Source organism: Homo sapiens, chromosome 1 (assembly GCF_000001405.40).
Source record: "Homo sapiens chromosome 1, GRCh38.p14 Primary Assembly".
Taxonomy (NCBI): Eukaryota; Metazoa; Chordata; class Mammalia; order Primates; family Hominidae; genus Homo; species Homo sapiens.
The window spans coordinates 246,510,876-246,529,541 of NC_000001.11; the positions used below are offsets into that span (position 1 = coordinate 246,510,876).

The 18,666-nt window shown below is 54.9% G+C and overlaps 1 long non-coding RNA gene across 1 annotated transcript, besides 1 other annotated feature; it reads right to left on the reverse strand.

Moving 5' to 3' along the window:
* Positions 1–5,163: 5,163 nt before the first annotated feature.
* On the reverse strand, positions 5,164–13,412 carry LINC01743 (long intergenic non-protein coding RNA 1743). Its single transcript, NR_040002.1, has 3 exons — positions 13,322–13,412; positions 6,824–6,904; positions 5,164–5,955 (listed from the first exon to the last, which is right to left on the reverse strand). It is a non-coding gene; the product is annotated as a long intergenic non-protein coding RNA 1743 (long non-coding RNA).
* Positions 5,770–5,950: a silencer, noted in NCBI's record as "fragment chr1:246679947-246680127 (GRCh37/hg19 assembly coordinates)". NCBI's record gives its function as "represses an EF-1alpha promoter that drives an FKBP-Casp9 reporter gene in an ReSE screen in phorbol 12-myristate 13-acetate-treated (for megakaryocytic differentiation) K562 erythroleukemia cells {active_cell/tissue: K562(+PMA)}" and the evidence as "EXISTENCE:reporter gene assay evidence [ECO:0000049][PMID:32094911]".
* Positions 13,413–18,666: the final 5,254 nt, after the last annotated feature.

An 18,666-nucleotide genomic window follows, 5' to 3' on the forward strand; every position in this document is an offset into this window, starting at 1 on the left:
TGCCCGGTCCATGCCAGGACTGACCATTCCCACACCTGGCTGAACTCTTGGCTCTGGCTCTGGGCCAGGGGTCCCACCTGTGCCCTTGCCCTGAAAGCTCTGGGGGTCAGGGACACCGACTCCCTTGTCTCCCTGGCTCAAGGCTCGTTGTCCTGGCACCCTTGGAGGGATGTTCAGGAGTGAGGGGCCTCTGCTGCTCTCTGAGGCTGTCAGTGCTTGCAGGGAGGGGTGGGGGGGGTCCCACAAATGGGTCTGGCTCCTCCAGTGCCGTCAAGGGCCCTGTTGGGGGGGGGCGGGACACCGTGGAAAGTGGGAGGGGGCTTGTTGGAGAGGTCTTGCCCACATCCCCCTCCTGCGTGCACAGCATGTGCAGTGCACATGCACTGAGCACCTGCCCTGAGGACCGGGGGCCTATTGTCTTTCTTAGAGTCCAGGAGGAAAAGGAGGAAGAAAAGGCACAAGAGGAAGGCCCAGGTAGTAGGCTTGGGGGTCCCGGGCGCTCCCCCACTATTGACTGCCCCAGAGGGTGACTCAGGAGGGGGCCTGGTATGGAAGCCCATCTGGGGGTGGCAGGTCCCCATTCTTCCTTGTTAGCTTCCTCGTAGAGGCCCAAGGGTGCCCGAGAGCTGCGTCTTCATCCAGGGCCTAGGTATGGGAGAACCAGCCCCCAAAACTGCCCATGGGCCAGACCTGGATGTCTTCATGAGGCCCTCTAGGGATAGGGTGGGCATCAGGCCAGGAGAGTTCCCTGGGAGGGTCAGAGCCCATACCTCATTGCCACCTCAACCGTCTCCCACTGGGAGGTGCCAGATCCTTTTGTGGCCACCCCAGGGGTCCAGATGTGCATAGGAGGCTGTGGCTGGGGGTGGCCTGGGCAGGGAAGTGCTCACCACACTCCAGACTTTCATCTGGAACATGTCGGGGGTGGGCTTGGTGTCACTGTGCCCTGCCCAGCCCACCCAGCCAGACCTCCCCCTGGGCCAGAGCAGAGGATCATGGGGACAGTGTGAGGAAGCTGCCCTCAGGCCAGTCCGAGTCTGACCCCAGTGCTCCCCAGTGCCATTGGGCACACGTGGACTTACTCCATTAAACCTTAAAGGCAGTGCATGCCATCGGCATCAACACCTGTTCCCCTTCTACCAAATACACATCCCACAGGTGCAGGTTGAGCCTGAGAGAGATCTATGGGGACAGCAGACACTGGAGGACCTGGCCCTTCAAGGCTGGGGGCTGGTGGCTCGAGCTGGGCCCACTGGGACTTCAGTCCCCAGAGTCAGTGACCCTCCCCATGAGGGTCATCTGACCCTTCCAGGAGGCTGGGTCAGACAGGGTCTTGCAGCTCCTCATGAGGGGCACTCATTTCAGTGGGATATGGCTTCTGGAGAGAGGGACCTCCCCAGGGCTTGAGGCTTCTGAGCTCTCCCAAGTTGGGTTCTGCCCCAGTCTTCCCATGAGGCTGGGCCTGAGCCCCAACCTCTGCCGTGGGATGACCCTTCTTGGGCACGGGGCCTTGCTTGTGTGTCCTACAGGGCCCCGTCTGTGCCTCCTGTGGGCTGGGGGTGAGCCGGACCCCTGGGCACGGGGAGCAGGGCACTGCAGGGCAAAGAGGGTCCCTGAGCCAGGGTCTCCCTGGGCCTCCTTGCCCCATCCATCAAGCTCTGGAGCAGCCAGCCTAATGAGGAACCCTGCGCACATGGCCCTTCCTTGTCGTGATGGGAGGAACAGAAGTGCTCAGGGCCCCCTGGGCTACTCTAAAAACCAAACCTCCCTCTTCCAGGGTCCTCTGAAGACCCTTCCCCAAGTGCAGAACACAGGATGGTGTCCAGGGCTCCACACGACACCTTCCCCTTCCCGCACTCCCAGCGGACACACTGCCCTTAGCCTTGCTCTGCAGGAGGTGGGCCCCAGTGCCTGTGCCTCTGTCTCCTCCAGGGCGGGAAAGGAAACCCAACTCCAAACGCATGGAGAACCCCACATCCCAGGTCAGGCCCTGGCTGGGACTCAGCCTCTCATCAGTCCCATGGGGGTCTCTAGCCAGCCCTACGGGATGCAGGGCCTCTGGGAAAGAGCCGAGGGGACCATAAACACACAGGGTGCCTCGTGGTCTTGGGTTATGACGTGGGTACCACGTGTTCCTGGTGGTCTTGTAGCCCCTGGACCCTTGTGCTATTTGGGCTGTAGAATCCTGAGACGCCCCCAGCCCATCATGAAACCAGAGCCAGCTCCCAAGATGTGGAGCTGTCAGCTGGAAGAACTGGGCAGCTGCAGAGGCCCCCGAACCCCGAGGCCTCCCACCCTCCCATCTGTGACCCCACCATGTGGCCTTGGCCCTGGGGAGAAGGGGTGGGAACATCCCCTGGAGCCTGGCTGGAGGTGCTCCGGGAGGCCTCCTGGGCCAGGGTGCCGGGAGGGCAGGCCTGACTTTGAGGCCACAACAGAGAGTAGAAAGAACAAGGTGGGTGCTGGGACCCCTGGTTGTCTCTTGGAAGTGGGGTCAGGCCAGGGGACATGGGATGGGGAGGTGCTGCCATCTGGGCTTTGTCAGCCCACCTGTGGGAACCAAGGGCAGCTGAAGCCCAGCCAGCTGGAGGCCAGGAGGACTCTCAGGGAGGGGAGAGTCAGCTGCATAGAATTCGAGCTGGAGAGCGTGGCTCCAGGACATAGAGGGCGGCCACGGCGAGGATGAGATGCCCTCTGCTGATGGGGATGAAAGGCATCTGACTCAGGGTCTGGGGGTCCCCATTCATCCATGGTCTCCTGTGGGACCTTCAGCAGAGACATCCTAAAGGCTCCCAACAAGCTGGTGACACAAGGAAGGTACCTTTGCTGAAAGTCGAGATCATCTGGCTAGGGTGGCTGTCCCCGGGTCTGGCTGCATGAGGTCGGGGGGCAGCTGTTCACCTACCCTGTGGGGAGTGCCTCTCACAAGCCAACAGCTGGGCCAGTGCCCAGAATGCATCCTCCCCAGGCCCATAAAGGAGAAACAAGGCAGCAGCGTGGCTCAGGTCCCTGCGGTAGCCCACCTCCTGCAAGATCCAGAGTCACCATGGAAGGACATCTCCTGGAGGGCTGAGGTCACCTGGGAGGACTCATGTCATCGGAGAGGGCAGAGGTGACTGGGGAGGCTTCCTCTGAAGAAGAGGCTTCCTCAGGATGCAAATTTATTTTCTGACAAGAGCCATGTCCATCAGGCACTTCAGCAACTTGTCCAAAATGTTTCCTGAGAGCACTGTCCTGCATGTGACACTACCAAGCTCCTGGGCTTTGGGGCAGCCCCAGGAGGAGGGTGTCATTTCTTGTTATGAAAAGTGGTGGTCAGGCCCAGGTGACACTAGTAGTTGGGGCCCTGACTTCTTTGTCTCAGTTTGACCCCTTGAGACCACCTCCCTTGCTTGGAGATTTATGCCAACGGTGAGCTGGAGTCCTATCTACTATATCCTGATGGGTCACAAATACTGACTTTGAAAGAAACAACGATGCCCCTACCAGACACCCACGCCCACGAACGTGGGAATATGGCCCAGAAACGTCACTGCCTGGGAATACTCATGGGGTTATATGCCAAATATACCAGGAAGATGTAGAATAATTCCTGCTGCCTAGGAAAGAGATAAAAGGGGCTTTCGTTTGTTTTGTGCAGACGCTTTTAGTTTCACTTTGCCTACAAACCCTAACAACAAATCCAGTTTCAGGTTCAGATGATTCACCAGATAAGTCACAAGCTCTTCAGGACCTTGGTTGTTTAAGAAATGTTTCAGGCCAGGCGCGGTGGCTCACACCTGTAATCCCAGCACTTTGGGAGGCCAAGGCAGGTGGATCACGAGGTCAGGAGATCGAGACCATGGTGAAACCCCGTCTCTACTAAAAATACAAAAAATTAGCCAGGTGCAGTGGTGGGCGCCTGTAGTCCCAGCTACACAGGAGGCTGAGGCAGGAGAATGGTGTGAACCTGGGAGGTGGAGCTTATAGTGAGCCAAGATCGTGCCACTGCACTCCAGCCTGGGTGACAGAGGAAGACTCCATCTCAAAACAAAACAAAAAAAAAAAGTTTCAGTAAAATCCACATCTGTGAAATGCAGATATCCCAGTTGTATAGTGAGTTGACTGATCACACTCTGATTTTTATTTTTTCAGTTTGCACACCCACCAGTTCAGTCTTTGGGGTGTACAGTACCTCCATGGTTCTAAACCAATGTGCAGAGTCTCCTGGTCACCACTCCAGCCCCTCCTGGAGCGATTCCTTCATCCTCCAAGTCTCCAGGGTGTCCCCTATGTAGCCAACCTCTTCCCGGTCCATCAGCCCTTGGCCATCCCAACGTGTTTTCTGTCCCTGTGATTTGGCCTTTTCCAGAATGGCCTATTAATTGGAACCCTACAGAGGTAGCTTGTTGGGTCTGGTTTCTTTCCCTTAGCAAAATGCAACTAAGATCCACTGACGTTCATGTGGGCATCACTGGCTCATTCACTTTTCTCACTGAGTCTTTTTTCCTTTGAAGGGAGGGCCACCCATCCTCTCCCCATTCCCATGTTGAAGGTTGTCCCCATGGCCTCTGTGTGTGAGTGACGATGAATCAAGCAGTGAATGTGGCATGCATGTTTCATGTGTGTTAAGTAAAATGTTTATTTAGAAACAGAATGCTTGATCCTTAGTACCACAAAGAAACATCAGCATTTAGACAAAAAGTTTTCTCAGCAAGGCAATTTTACCTTCTGCAGAAAGGGTGCTCCTCACAGATGGAACAATGGTGAGAGCACACCTGAATAAAAGAGGGAAGCAATTTTTATCCTTTATGCAGCTTGTCCCTGCTACTGTGTCCTGTCTCCATTGGCTGGAGCTGGGCCATACAATCTAAACTAAATCTGACTGGCTAATAATTTAAAATGTCTCTAAATAGCTGAAAGCAATGGAGAACAAAGGAAAAGAGGAAGCTGCTTATGAAAAGACTTAGAAAAGTAATAACATTCCCAAATAAGGAAGGGGCACAGGCTTCAAGCTGGGACCTGCCTGTGAGCACGTCCAGCACAGATAACCCTGATTGAAGTACGAGGACATAGAATGTACTTATTCCTTTATATCTAACAGCTGTGTAGAATAGGGCTTAACAAAGAGTTATTAGCACAAAGCAAGGAGGCTTGAAGGAAATTAGTCTTTAAAGGAAACTGTTATTTCTAACACTTATGATTTATTCTTTAACAAGAAGGGAAACTTTGAAAAGGAACTTTTTACTTTCTACAGTGTGGATGTCAGTTTTCAAATCAGTTGGTTCAATGTCTGTGACACTTCGGGGATGTGTGGTTTGAGTCCACTGAGCTTTGCGAGCGACTGCCCAACTGGCTTCCAAAGTGGCTGTGTCATGTCACATTTCCACCAGCTGTGGATGAGAGTCTCCGGGGCCCCGAATGCCCCCGCCCCCAGCATTGGGTGCTGTCGGTGTCGCCAGAGGAGTCTCCGGGGCCCCAGGTCCCCCCCCCCCCCAGCATTGGGTGCTGTCGGTGTTGCCAGAGGAGGTTCACCAGCCCTCCATCCTGCTGCCCCCCACCCATGGGTCCATACCATGGGTCCCATGGGTCAGGGAGAGCACTTTTCACCATTGTGCATGATTTTGTTTGCTGCCTTCTGTCTCCTCAGGATCCTTCTGGGTTCTGGCCCCACATGTTCTAGCCTGGCCCAGAGCTTGGAACCTGGGAGGTCCTCAGTGCATGGTACGGGCTCCTCCCTGGGCCAGGAGAGCCCTTGGCAGCTCCGTCATCCCTCCTGGGTGAAGCTGGTTTTTGCTCTGGGGAAGTCTCCATCCCTCTGGTTCACTTCATCTCTGCTGGGACCCTGTGGCCCCCATAGGCTTACCTGATGCCATATCATTTCCTAAATATTATGTGATTCCTCAGTGTCCGGCTCACCTCCAGGTCAATCTGGTGGATAGGTTCAGAGGACCTCTTGCCCTTTTCTTTCATGACCTGTAGGGCATGGCCAGGAGGAGGAAGCAGCCTCAGAACAGATGGAAGGACCCCTGCCCCAGATGGCAGTCAGCCCACAGTCAGCACTCGTGGAAGGAGGGAAAAAAGGAAGGTTTCCTTCTGCAGAAAGCTGCTTTTTGGCTTGTTTCTGAAGCCAGGGAGGGTCACCAGAGCTGAGCTCATTTGGGGTGCCTATGTCACCGTCTGCCCAGGATATGCTTCTGACCACCCCAGCCCCACCGATAAGCTGGGCTCGATGTTCCCTCCATCTGGAGACCTGGGCTCCTGACACAGCCTGGCCTGTTTGTTGTGCTCTGGCTGAGTATACCTCATATTTCCCAGGGTTCTCAGGCTTGGTTTCCTCAATGTTTAGCAGGACTGACCACACCCAGCCCCAGACCTTCAGGAGAATGCCTTTGTACACTCTGGCAGACAACTGATCTGGTGACACAGGCCACAGGGTGACCTCAGCAAGGACCAGACCCCAAGGATTCTGGAAGTCTCTGGTTTTGGCCCCATGATTCCTCAATACAGGTGAGGTCAAGCTGGGACAGGGTCTCTCCTCCCAGGGCTGAAAGAGTGGGTCAGCACTCAGAGTCTGAACTCTGATCTACACCTGTTCCTTCACCAGGAGGCTTCCCTAGCCCTGATCTACGGTGGCCCCAGCCCTGGCATCAGATTCCCTCCCAGCAAGGTGACGAGCGCACGAATGGGCAGCAAAGCTGGCGACCAGGCCTGCTGTCGTCTGAGTAAGGACAGGGTGCTACCCGCTCTCTAAGAGGCAGATGGTGCCAGCCCACAGCCAAGGGTGCCTGTCCCCCTGACTCTGCAGACAGTGGTTCTGCAGGCCTCTCCCTCCCCACATTACCTTCTTGCTCATCCTATATTTCTGCCATTCTCCCAGCATCTTCAGCCACTTTTCCATGTGTCTCATGTCCTGTCACATTTGCTGTCAAATGAGGAATGTTGGAGTTAGTGGAGCCGCCATGCTTCCCGGAGTGGCCCACGGATGCTGGGTCCTGGGTTCTGGAGCTCTAGTGGGACCCAGCTGGAAGGAGCTAGGGAAGGGCAGACCCTGGGGGCTGAGACCCTCTGAGCAAATGAGCGCCAGTGGGCTGGCCTTGTGACCCTGGGACGTGCCATCCTCAGGCCACAGACACACCAGTCTTAGGTCGGGTCACAGCCTCTAGGTGGTATCCTGACACAAGCGGGCAGCCACCCCCAAGCCACGACTGTTGTTCTCACTTTGAAATTTCGGCAAACTGCCAGAGAAACAGAGACTTGGGGTCAGGTCCAGCAGGGACAGCTGCCCCTCCCAGTGACAGTATGTTGCTCCCTCCCACCCACCACCACCCAGGCCCGCTGCCTCCTCTGCCTCACCGAACACCCACTGAGTCCCCATCCCTGGACCAGCTCCCCAAGCATCAGGGACAGGCTCTTACCTTCACCTCCAGGGCATTGACAGGGGGCAACTCTGTCTCACTGGAAGGCACCTGACAGAGCTGAGGACCTGCGCAGGGCCTGGAGCCATCCCGGTCCAGGAGTCCACCCCCAGAAAGGACTGGCTCTGTCCCCTTCCATCCCAGGTCTCAGCTCGGGAGAAGCCACAGGGAAGGGAGGACAAGGGCCCTGTGGGGCAGACTCCCAGGAGGGGCCCCTGGTGTGGGGGATGGTCAGGCTGCACAATGGGGCTGCCCCTCCTGGACTGGAGGTGGTGTTTTCTGCTGGAGCTCAGAAACGTCAGCTCTGAGATGGGACTGCTGCTGCCCAGGGTGGGTGGCCACGCCCGGACGGGAGTCTCTCAGGGAGTGACCGCATCACCCTGCTGGGGTTTGGGTGCCTGGCCTGAGACCTGCCTGGTGCACCCGGGGCCCATCCCACCTGACACTCCCAAGGTCCTCGCAGAGTCTGACCACCTGGAGCCCACCTGCCTCTCCCTGCACCTGAGCCACACACCCTGCTTTTTCCCTGATTTCCGCCATCCTGTCCAACCCAAAAACTGTGAACGTCTCTCCAGCCACCCTGGGTCTGCTTTGACTCTGGTCCTGTCAGAACCCCTGAGTGAGACTCCCCGGATCTGTTCTCATGCCTGCCTTGCCTGCTCGAGAGATGCCAGGGGTGGCCTGGGTGACCGAGGGCCCCACAGGCTTCCAGGACAGCCTCCTGGCCCCACCTCCTGCCTCACCTGGCTTTCGGAGCCATTGGCTGTCAGCCCTCAGCCTCCTCCCAGACACTGCAGCAGATGGAACTCGGGACACCTGGCCGTTCTCCCCAACTATCCTGCCTGCCCCAGGTCAGTCCCCCGATCACCCTCTGCCCACTGTGCTGTCCAAGCCAACTGGAAGCAGAGTCCCTGGAAAGCCACGTAGAATCTTGGGGATGGACTGACTCCCTCTGCTGAGAAGTCCCAGGTGAGCTGGTGTTTTCAGCCCCACCCCATCTATTGTCCTCCCCAGACAATCAGCTCCATTGGGGTGCATTTCCGACGTGGCACAGCCCATGGGCTTATTCCCATCCCACCTCCCCCAGGGTCCTCTGTCTTTCCATCCTGTGACCCCTGAGGGATTGGCTCCAGGCTGGGCTCTCTTATCTGGCCCCAGATACCGTCCCAGTACCAGACCCAGGGCCTTTAGCCACAAGCTCTGCTGCCCGCCTGGCCAGAATGCCTAGAATGGGGGACCCTGCCCATCTTCTCCCCCATTCCCCTAGGCCCACAGCCCTCACTGTCCCCATGGGGAAGGGCATGGTCCTTGGGGGAACCATGGCATGGTCCATGCGGAAGGGCATGGGGACAGTGAGGGCTTTGGCCCTAGGGGAATGGGGAGAAGAAGGGCAGGTGGGCCCCTCAGAGACCTGCTGGACAGCTGCCCCAAGGCTGGACCAGGTGCCCCCTCACCCTGTGGCCACAACCCTTGGATCTCACTAGGATAGTGTCCAAGTGGACAGGGCCAGACCCTCAAGCTGCCTGCCTCCTCTTCTGCTAACTTGGAGACAGAACTGCTGAGAGCCCAGGGGCCTGACCTAGTCCCCTCTCCATTCCCACCTGCTCCCTAGATGAGCAACACTCCCTAGATGAACCACACTCCCTAGATGGGCCACGCTCCCTAGATGGGCCACGCTCCCTAGATTAACCACATTCCCTAGATGAGCCACACTCCCTAGATGAACCACATTCCCTAGATGGGCCACGCTCCCTAGATGAACCACACTCCCTAGATGGGCCACGCTCCTTAGATGAACCACACTCCCTAGATGAGCCACGCTCCCTAGATGAACCACATTCCCTAGATGGGCCACGCTCCCTAGATGGGCCATGCTCCCTAGATGAACCACGTTCCCTAGATGGGCCACGCTCCCTAGATGAACCATGCTCCCTAGATGAGCCACGCTCCCTAGATGGGCCATGCTCCCTAGATTAACCACATTCCCTAGATGAGCCACACTCCCTAGATGAACCACGCTCCCTAGATGGGCCACGCTCCCTAGATGAAACACGCTCCCTAGATGGGCCACGCTCCCTAGATGGGCCACGCTCCCTAGATGAACCACGCTCCCTAGATGAGCCACGCTCCCTAGATGGGCCATGCTCCCTAGATGGGCCACGCTCCCTAGATGGGCCATGCTCCCTAGATGGGCCATGCTCCCTAGATGAACCACGCGCCCTAGATGAGCCACCCTCCCTAGATGGGCCACGCTCCCTAGATGAACCACATTCCCTAGATGGGCCACGCTCCCTAGATGAACCACACTCCCTAGATGGGCCACGCTCCCTAGATGAACCACGCTCCCTAGATGGGCCACGCTCCCTAGATGGGCCACGCTCCCTAGATGAACCACGCTCCCTAGATGGGCCACGCTCCCTAGATGAACCACATTCCCTAGATGGGCCACACTCCCTAGATGAACCACACTCCCTAGATGGGCCACGCTCCCTAGATGGGCCACGCTCCCTAGCTGAACCATGCTCCCTTGATGGGCCACGCTCCCTAGCTGAACCACGCTCCCTAGATGGGCCACGCTCCCTAGATGAACCACGCTCCCTAGATGGGCCACGCTCCCTAGATGAACCACGCTCCCTAGATGGGCCACGCTCCCTAGATGAACCACGCTCCCTAGATGGGCCACGCTCCCTAGATGAACCACATTCCCTAGATGGGCCACGCTCCCTAGATGAACCACGCTCCCTAGATGAACCACGCTCCCTAGATGAGCCACACTCCCTAGATGGGCCACACTCCCTAGATTAACCACATTCCCTAGATGGGCCATGCTCCCTAGATGAACCATGCTCCCTAGATGGGCCACGCTCCCTAGATGAACCACGCTCCCTAGATGGGCCACGCTCCCTAGATGGGCCACGCTCCCTAGATGAACCACTCTCCCTAGATGAGCCACGCTCCCTAGATGGGCCACACTCCCCAGATGGGCCACACTCCTTAGATGAACCACACTGCCTAGATGAGCCACGCTCCCTAGATGAGCCACGCTCCCTAGATGAACCACGCTCCCTAGATGGGCCACGCTCCCTAGATGGGCCACGCTCCCTAGATGAACCACTCTCCCTAGATGAGCCACGCTCCCTAGATGGGCCACGCTCCCTAGATGAACCACTCTCCCTAGATGAGCCACGCTCCCTAGATGAACCACACTGCCTAGATGAGCCACGCTCCCTAGATGAGCCACGCTCCCTAGATGAACCACGCTCCCTAGATGGGCCACGCTCCCTAGATGGGCCACGCTCCCTAGATGAACCACTCTCCCTAGATGAGCCACGCTCCCTAGATGGGCCACGCTCCCTAGATGAACCACACTGCCTAGATGAGCCACGCTCCCTAGATGAGCCACACTCCCTAGATGAACCACGCTCCCTAGATGAGCCACGCTACCTAGATGAACCACATTCCCTAGATGGGCCACGCTCCCTAGATGGGCCATGCTCCCTAGATGAACCACGCTCCCTAGATGGGCCACGCTCCCTAGATGAACCACGCTCCCTAGATGGGCCACGCTCCCTAGATGGGCCATGCTCCCTAGATGAACCACGCTCCCTAGATGAGCCACACTCCCTAGATGGGCCACGCTCCCTAGATTAACCACATTCCCTAGATGGGCCACGCTCCCTAGATGAACCATGCTCCCTAGATGGGCCACGCTCCCTAGATGGGCCACGCTCCCTAGATGAACCACGCTCCCTAGATGGGCCACGCTCCCTAGATGAACCACGCTCCCTAGATCAACCACGCTCCCTAGATGAGCCACGCACCTCTGGCCTAACAACAATCACAGGCTGGACCTGCAGGGGAGCCCGGGAGGAGTTCTACCCTAGAAAAGAGGTAGGCCCAAGCCAAGGAGACACATCCTGCCTCAGAAAGACCTTTCTAAAAGCGAAACCCATCCCTGAGCTGAGATTTGTGCTTTAGAGGGTGAGAGGAGCACAGAGAACTCACTGCAGAATCCCAAGGCAATCAGAGATCTTGTAGATGTTAACATGCCCAGGCTATATGTCCGCTGGCAGCCCAGTTCCACATCCCTGAAACCCAGAGGGAGCCAGGGTGAGGCATCCAAGGTAAAAGGTGCAAGGGCCTGGGGGTGTTGTCAACTTGTCACCACCTGTGCTCCTGGGGAGCCCAGGACCCTTTGAGCAGGGCGCACTGGGAGAGGCCTCCGTCCAGGGAGCAGACTGACTGTACCTGCTCATACTTGGTAATGATGTCCCCTCATTCCTGTGCCAGCAGGGTATCCACATTCTCTCCCATGTCCATCCCATGAGACAAATCGTCCAAAGGTGACACTGTACCCGAGAGCTTCGGAGAACACCTGAGCCACTCCTGCCGGGCTCCCAGATGCTGGCGGTGTGTGACCCCCATTCCATCACCACCTCCAGGTGAAAAGGGGCCAGACACAGTGGCCCACACCTGCACGGGTCTCTGGAGTCTCAGGCCCCAAGCAGGAGTGCCTCCTTCCTAAGGACTTGAGAATAGTGGGACCTGGACAGAGAATCCCGTTGTCCCCAAATGCCATGAAATGGGAACATATCTATCCCAACAGAATGAAAGGTGTCCACCTGCCGGGGGTGAAGAGCCTGTGATTCCAGAGATGAGGAGGCAGACTGGGGTCAGGGACCAGAGGTCTCTGTATGATCAGCCTCTTGGGATCGCTCAGAAACCACAAAGTTGCCCAGTTTTCTATGGACAACAAGATATCTCCTGACTTCCCAATTCTACTCCACTCATCACTTGGGCTACCATGGCCCTTCAGTCTGACCAGTGAAGCCGCTTTAGGAATCATGCCAGTTGAGCAGGAAGGTGTTTGCTTTGGGGGAAGAAAATGATCTATTGTCTCCAAAGCAGCCTCTGTGCTGGTGGAAACCATGACGCTGGGGGAGGGACGGTGGACTCCACAATTCTGAGCTATCCATACAGGGTGTGGGGGGCTTCATTTTCCCGGGTCACTGAGAAAGAACAGGAGAACTCTGGGTTCTTGGTCCTGGAGAACACCGAGATGAACGATTCCTCCTGGGACCACTCGGGGCAAAAGGGAGGCGAGGCCTCTGGAGGACCAAACTGAGAAAGAAATACTTGAAGAGAATGCCAGTGCCTGTACCCCTTTGAACAGGAGGGAAGATAGTCTCCATCCAGGCAGCCCTCCAGGGCTCCTTCATTTTCCACAACTGCCCAAAGGCAGAAGGCTCCCCATCCACTCCCAGACAGGGAACTGTGTGTGTCCAGTGGGTCCCACAGAGACCATCAGGACCCAGCTTAGGGCACAGAGGTATTCTGAGGCCCCTCCCCTCCACCCCACCCACAGTGGATCCATCCCAGCAGCTCTGCCAGGGCCAAGCTCTGCCCCATTGGGATCTGGAACCCTGGACACATTTGGGATTTAGGGCAGGGAGGTCACAGGGTTCAGGACTTAAGTCCAGCACGGCACAGGGCAGGGGTGAGAGCACAACCCAGGGTCACATCTGGATTCTTGGGGTTACCCAGTTACCGCCTCTCTGACCCCAGATGTCTCACCTGTCTAATGGGCACATTTGGGAGCAGCACCCACCCTATGGAGCCACCATGAGGACGAAGGAAACATATCATTAAAAGATCAGAAATACAAAAAGAGATACCATTAAGAGTTCCTACAGATACTGAAACGGTCATTAGGTAATAGTATTAACATTTTTATTCTGATATTCAACAGCAGCAGTCACTTCCCTCCACCCATATGTGTATCGTCTGCCTGGGCAGCACAGAACAGGCACCTGGTGAGTGCCCAGGGATGACCCTCCTCGGCAGCTGCCCAGAGGCCAGCACTACCCACCCCATAGCCACTGTCCCCAAGTCAGCATGAAGGGAAGGGAGAATGTCACACTCACCTGATTCTGATGAATTGGCTGGGCTGAGTTATGCCTCTCATGTAGCAAACTCTCATGAACACAGAACTGCTCACAGATAGCACTGTGCGTGTGCAACTGCTCTGGAACACAGAGGCAGGCTGGAGGGCGAGCGGGTGCTCAGCACCAGTGACATTCTGAGGTCATGGCACACATCACAGTGGGGCCTTGCCTGGGTCATCAGAGCCCAGAGTCAGCGTCCTCCACTGCCTGAGGCGTCAACATGCCTGCATGCAATGTGTGCACTTGTGTGCACATGTGTATGTGGGTAAACACATCTGTGCACCTGTGTGTTGCTTCTCTGGCCAGGCCTGGCTGCCCCACTCATGTCTGCACCCAGTTCCTCATCACTGTTACCCCCGAGGCCCAGGACCAGCATCAGAGCATCCATGGGTGCTCCCTAACTTCAGCCCTCCCCAACCAGGGTGGTCCTGGGATACACATAGGGGTGGAGGGAAGTTACTGTTGCTGTTGAATATCAGAATAAAAATGTTAATACTATTACCTAATAACCTTTCAGTATCTGTAGGAACTCTTAATGGTATCCCTTTTTGTATTTCTGATATTTTAATGATATGTTTCTCTCCATGACCCTTGGTTATTCTAGGTAGAGGGTCCTGTGGGGAAAGTGCCTGGCACCCTGTAGGGGCTCACTCTTCTAGAAATGTGATCTGAAATCTGGCTCACCTGTCCTTCCACCCAGGGCCTAGGGGATGCCGAGTTCCGGAGACCAGAAAGAGCTTGGGATAAAAAGAAGGTTTAAGGGGAAGGCTTTGACCTGGGCTGGGTTTGCCTGCGCCATCCAAACCTGCAGGCTCGAGTCCTGAGACACAGGGGGTCCAGATGTCCCAATGCAGGGCCCTCCTCATTAACACCTGCTCCCCTGTACTCATTAGTAACCTCACCCATCCTACCCTCAAAGCACAGTTGGCCCTGGTATCCGTGGGCTCTGCATGTGTGGATTCAGCCAACAGTGGGTGGAAAATATTCAGAAAAGGGAGTGTGGATGGCTATGTCTCTGCTGAACATGTACAGACTTTTTTCCTGTCACCATTCCCTAAACAATACAGTATAACAACCCAATGACAGCCCTAGCAAGTAGAGACAATGAAAAAGACCGGCTCATGTCTAAAACACCAAAAGCAATGGCAACAAAAGCCAAAATTGACAAATGGGATCTAATTAAACTAAAGAGCTTCTGCACAGCAAAAGAAACTACCATCAGAGTGAACAGGCAACCTACAGAATGGGAGAAAATTTTTGCAACCTACTCATCTGACAAAGGGCTAATATCCAGAATCTACAATGAACTCAAACAAATTTACAAGAAAAAAACAAACAACCCCATCAAAAAGTGGGCAAAGGATATGAACAGACACTTCTCAAAAGAAGACATTTATGCAGCCAAAACACACATGAGAAAATGCTCACAATCACTGGCCATCAGAGAAATGCAAATCAAAACCACAATGAGATACCATCTCACACCAGTTAGAATGGCAATCATTAAAAAGTCAGGAAACAACAGGTGCTGGAGAGGATGTGGAGAAATAGGAACACTTTTACACTGTTGGTGGGACTGTAAACTAGTTCACCCATTGTGGAAGACAGTTTGGCCATTCCTCAGGGATCTAGAACTAGAAATATCATTTGACCCAGCCATCCCATTACTGGGTATATACCCAAAGGATTATAAATCGTGCTGCTATAAAGACACATGCACACGTATGTTTATTGTGGCACTATTCACAATAGCAAAGACTTGGAACCAACCCAAATGTCCAACAATGATAGACTGGATTAAGAAAATATGGCACATATATACCATGGAATACTATACAGCCATAAAAATGATGAGTTCTTGTCCTTTGTAGGGACATGGATGAAGCTGGAAACCATCATTCTCAGCAAACTATCACAAGGACAAAAACCAAACACCGCATGTTCTCACTCATAGGTGGGAATTGAACAATGAGAACACTTGGACACAGGAAGGGGAACATCACACACCGGGGACTGTGGTGGGGTGGGGGGCGGGGGGAGGGATAGCATTAGGAGATATACCTAATGTAAATGACGAGTTAATGGGTGCAGCACACCAACATGGCACATGTATACATATGTAACAAACCTGCACGTTGTGCACATGTACCCTAAAACTTAAAGTATAATAATAAAAAAAAGAAGAAAAAGAAAAAGAAACAGACCTGCTCACATTGTCCAGCTTTGAAGTCTTGGAAGAAGTTGCCACCAGGATGCAGGTAGGGGTCAATCTCCTCCAGGATCCAGAGAGCATATCAGCCAGCTTCAGGGTCAGGAAAGGAGCCTGACAGGTCTGCAGTAGGACGGGGCTGGGGCTGGCCGTGTGGATCACGTGGGCCTAATGAGGGGGAAAGTAAGACCATGGGGCAAAGGAGGGAGCATGGGGGCAGCTGGTGGCCTAAGCAGAAGGAACTTCAGAGAAGGGGTCTGCATTAGTTCATTTTCACACTGCTATAAAGAAATACCAGAGACTAGGTTATTTATAAAGGAAAGCAGCTAAATTGACTCGCAGTTCAGGAAACTTCCAATCATGGCGGAAGGCGAAGGGGAAGCAGGCACCTTCTTCACAAGGCGGCAGGAGGGAGTGAGTGGAGAATGAGGAAGCTCCACATTTTAAAACCATCAGCTCTCCTGAGAACTCACTCACTATCAGGAGAACAGCATGGGAGAAACTGCCCCCAAATCCAATCCCCTCCCACCAGGTTCCTCCCTTGACACATGAGGATTACAGCTCAAGATGAGATTTGGGTGGGGACACAGAGTCAAACCTATCAGAGGCTCACTCTGTCTCGTGGCTCCCCCAGGGCTCAGGCTGAGTGCAGATCTGATCTGCTGGCCCTGCTCTACAGCACGCTGGGGCTCTGCCTGTGCATCCCCATCTGTGGCTTCCCGGCGTGGCGGCCTGTTCCCTCAAAAGGAGGGTGGCTCTGCTCTCCTGCCAGCCCCCTGCAGGGCACGATGGAGCCCTGGCCACGTCCTCCCAGGGTGAGGGCATGAAACTGGGCTCCTTGCCCTTCTTGCTGCTTGGGTGACAAGCTTTGGGTCATCCCTAGGTCCTGTCACTGTTCCTGCTTCTAAATGGAGAGCATTTTGCCACATCTTCCTGGGAGAGGCTGGGGGTTCGTCCTTGTTATTTGTTCTATCTTGGTAAAACCAGGTTAAGTTATCTGGGCAAGCAGACAATAGAGTGGCACCCAGGAAGGGTGGGGTGTAGGGTGCTGGCCTTTGGGCTTGCCTGGACCATGGTTGGAGGGGGGAAGGTTACCAGGAAGCAGGACTGTCAGGGCTAAAGTCAGGAGGAAGTGGTTATGCTGAGGGGGGAGGTGTGTGGCTGGCTTGGGGCAGGACGTAAGTAAGAGCCAAGCTCTGTCAGCTCACAGAGAGGGCCGCTGGCACCTAGTCTAGAGGCTGTGGAGCCCAGGGGTTGCCCTTAGTTCCTGGATCCAGGGAGACTTCTGGAGCCTGTGCCTATGGCTTTCAGGCACAGGGTGAAGCTGGTGAGGGCAGGGGGAAGGGTGAGAGAGGAGGCCTTGCATGGCAGGGCAGGACAGGAAGCTGGCCAGAGACCAGTTTGCAGTGGCTGCTCCCATCCTCACCCCCACCCCCAAGCACACCCCTACCCCAGCTGGGCCTGGGCACGTGTCCTCTGCTTTGGTCTCAGCAGATCACAAGATGGAAGCTGGCAGCCTAGTGGGTGTGCCACTCAAGCCAGTGGTGACCTGTGACTTCTGCTTCCTGGATCGTGGGGTGCCCACCCAGGAGAGCACAGGTATGCCCCACACCCCTGACCTTGAGGGCGCTGGGAGGTGGGGGACCAATGTGCTCTATCCCTGTGTGTATGCCCTGAAAGGTGGCCTAGGAGTCCTGTGTGCGCCCATCCACGTGGGGTCCCAGGAGCTTCAACGGTGGCAGGGAGGGAGACGAGGAGGGAGAAAGAAGTGGAGAAGAAGGAGAGAGAAAGAGAGTTGGGGAGAAGAGAGTGAGACAGAAAGAGAGGAAGAGAGATGGGGGAAGAAACAGAGAAAGAGAGATAGGGAGAGAGACAGAGGAGGCTGAGAGGAAGAGGAGAGAGAGAGATAGGGAGAGAGACATAAAAAGCAAAGAGAGAGACAGGGAGAGAGGTGCATGAGTAGGAGGTCGGGTCATTCTTGATCACAGTTCCAGGGCAACCTGTAGGTTGCCATTAACTAACCACACATATAATAAAGGCTTCTGCCTGCTGCTTACAGCCCTCAAGAACCTCTACTCCTGGAGACTAAAACCTTTGACGGCTGCCCTTCCTCACTGGATGTTTGTCGTGTCTTCTGACGAACCGTGATGCCTCTTTGTAGGAATGGTATCAATAAAGAGCCAGATTTGAGGAGGAGAGTAACGTGAGGCATTCCAAACCATTTTCAGCTGAAAGGTCTTTAATTAAGGTTTCAAACTCTTTAGTAGTTGGATTGCTGGCGTCATCAGTGCTGGTGCCCTCCTTTTCTTTCTTTGATTCATTGTTTAAATCTGTTGAGGATTGAACAACTGTGAAGTTGACCTGAATAGCACCTTCACTCCTGACAGTCACATCTTGGTAACTGGATTATACCTATAATAAAGGAGGCAGATCAGAACCACAGTCCTTCAGCTGGAGTACCCCAGCCCTGGGAAAACAGGTGTGCAGAGAATGTGTGAATCCTTGGGATAAATGTGGTGCATCTTCCTAAAGAGACATTTTCATGTTGAGCAATTTATTATTTTTGATACATTAATTAATAAATAAAACTCAGGGGACAGGCTTGCCTGGGAGGACTTAGCGAGTCTCACAGTGTCCTCAGGGTGCCGGGAATGTTGGCTTTGTTTCAAACCCATTTCCTTTCACAGAGAACCTAGCCATCACATGGGGCTGGATGAGGTCCAGGGGCAACTGAGGGTTCCTGGCCAAGGCCACACCCTAGTGTTACCTGTAGGCTTCTGAACTAACCCCAGCCTCTGACAGCCCAATGGGTGATGGCAACCGGGTCTCCAAGCTTCTTCTATCGCAATTTTCCTCTTCTCCTTTTCATGACCACCATATCTCCTATCCACTCTCTGTATGCAATGCTGCAGGAATTTTTACAGTTCAGGGAAGTAATCCTGTTAGGCGAGATCAGGAAATGCCATAAGGGATTGCTGTTTTCTTGATTTTCTAGAAACAGAGGGCCTCCCCAACTGCCCCCAAACCCCCACCCCACTGCAGTGAGCATCTCTCTCTTTACCCTTGGTCTGGAGAGCACATGGTATTTCAAGGTCAAAATCGCCACCTAGCGGAG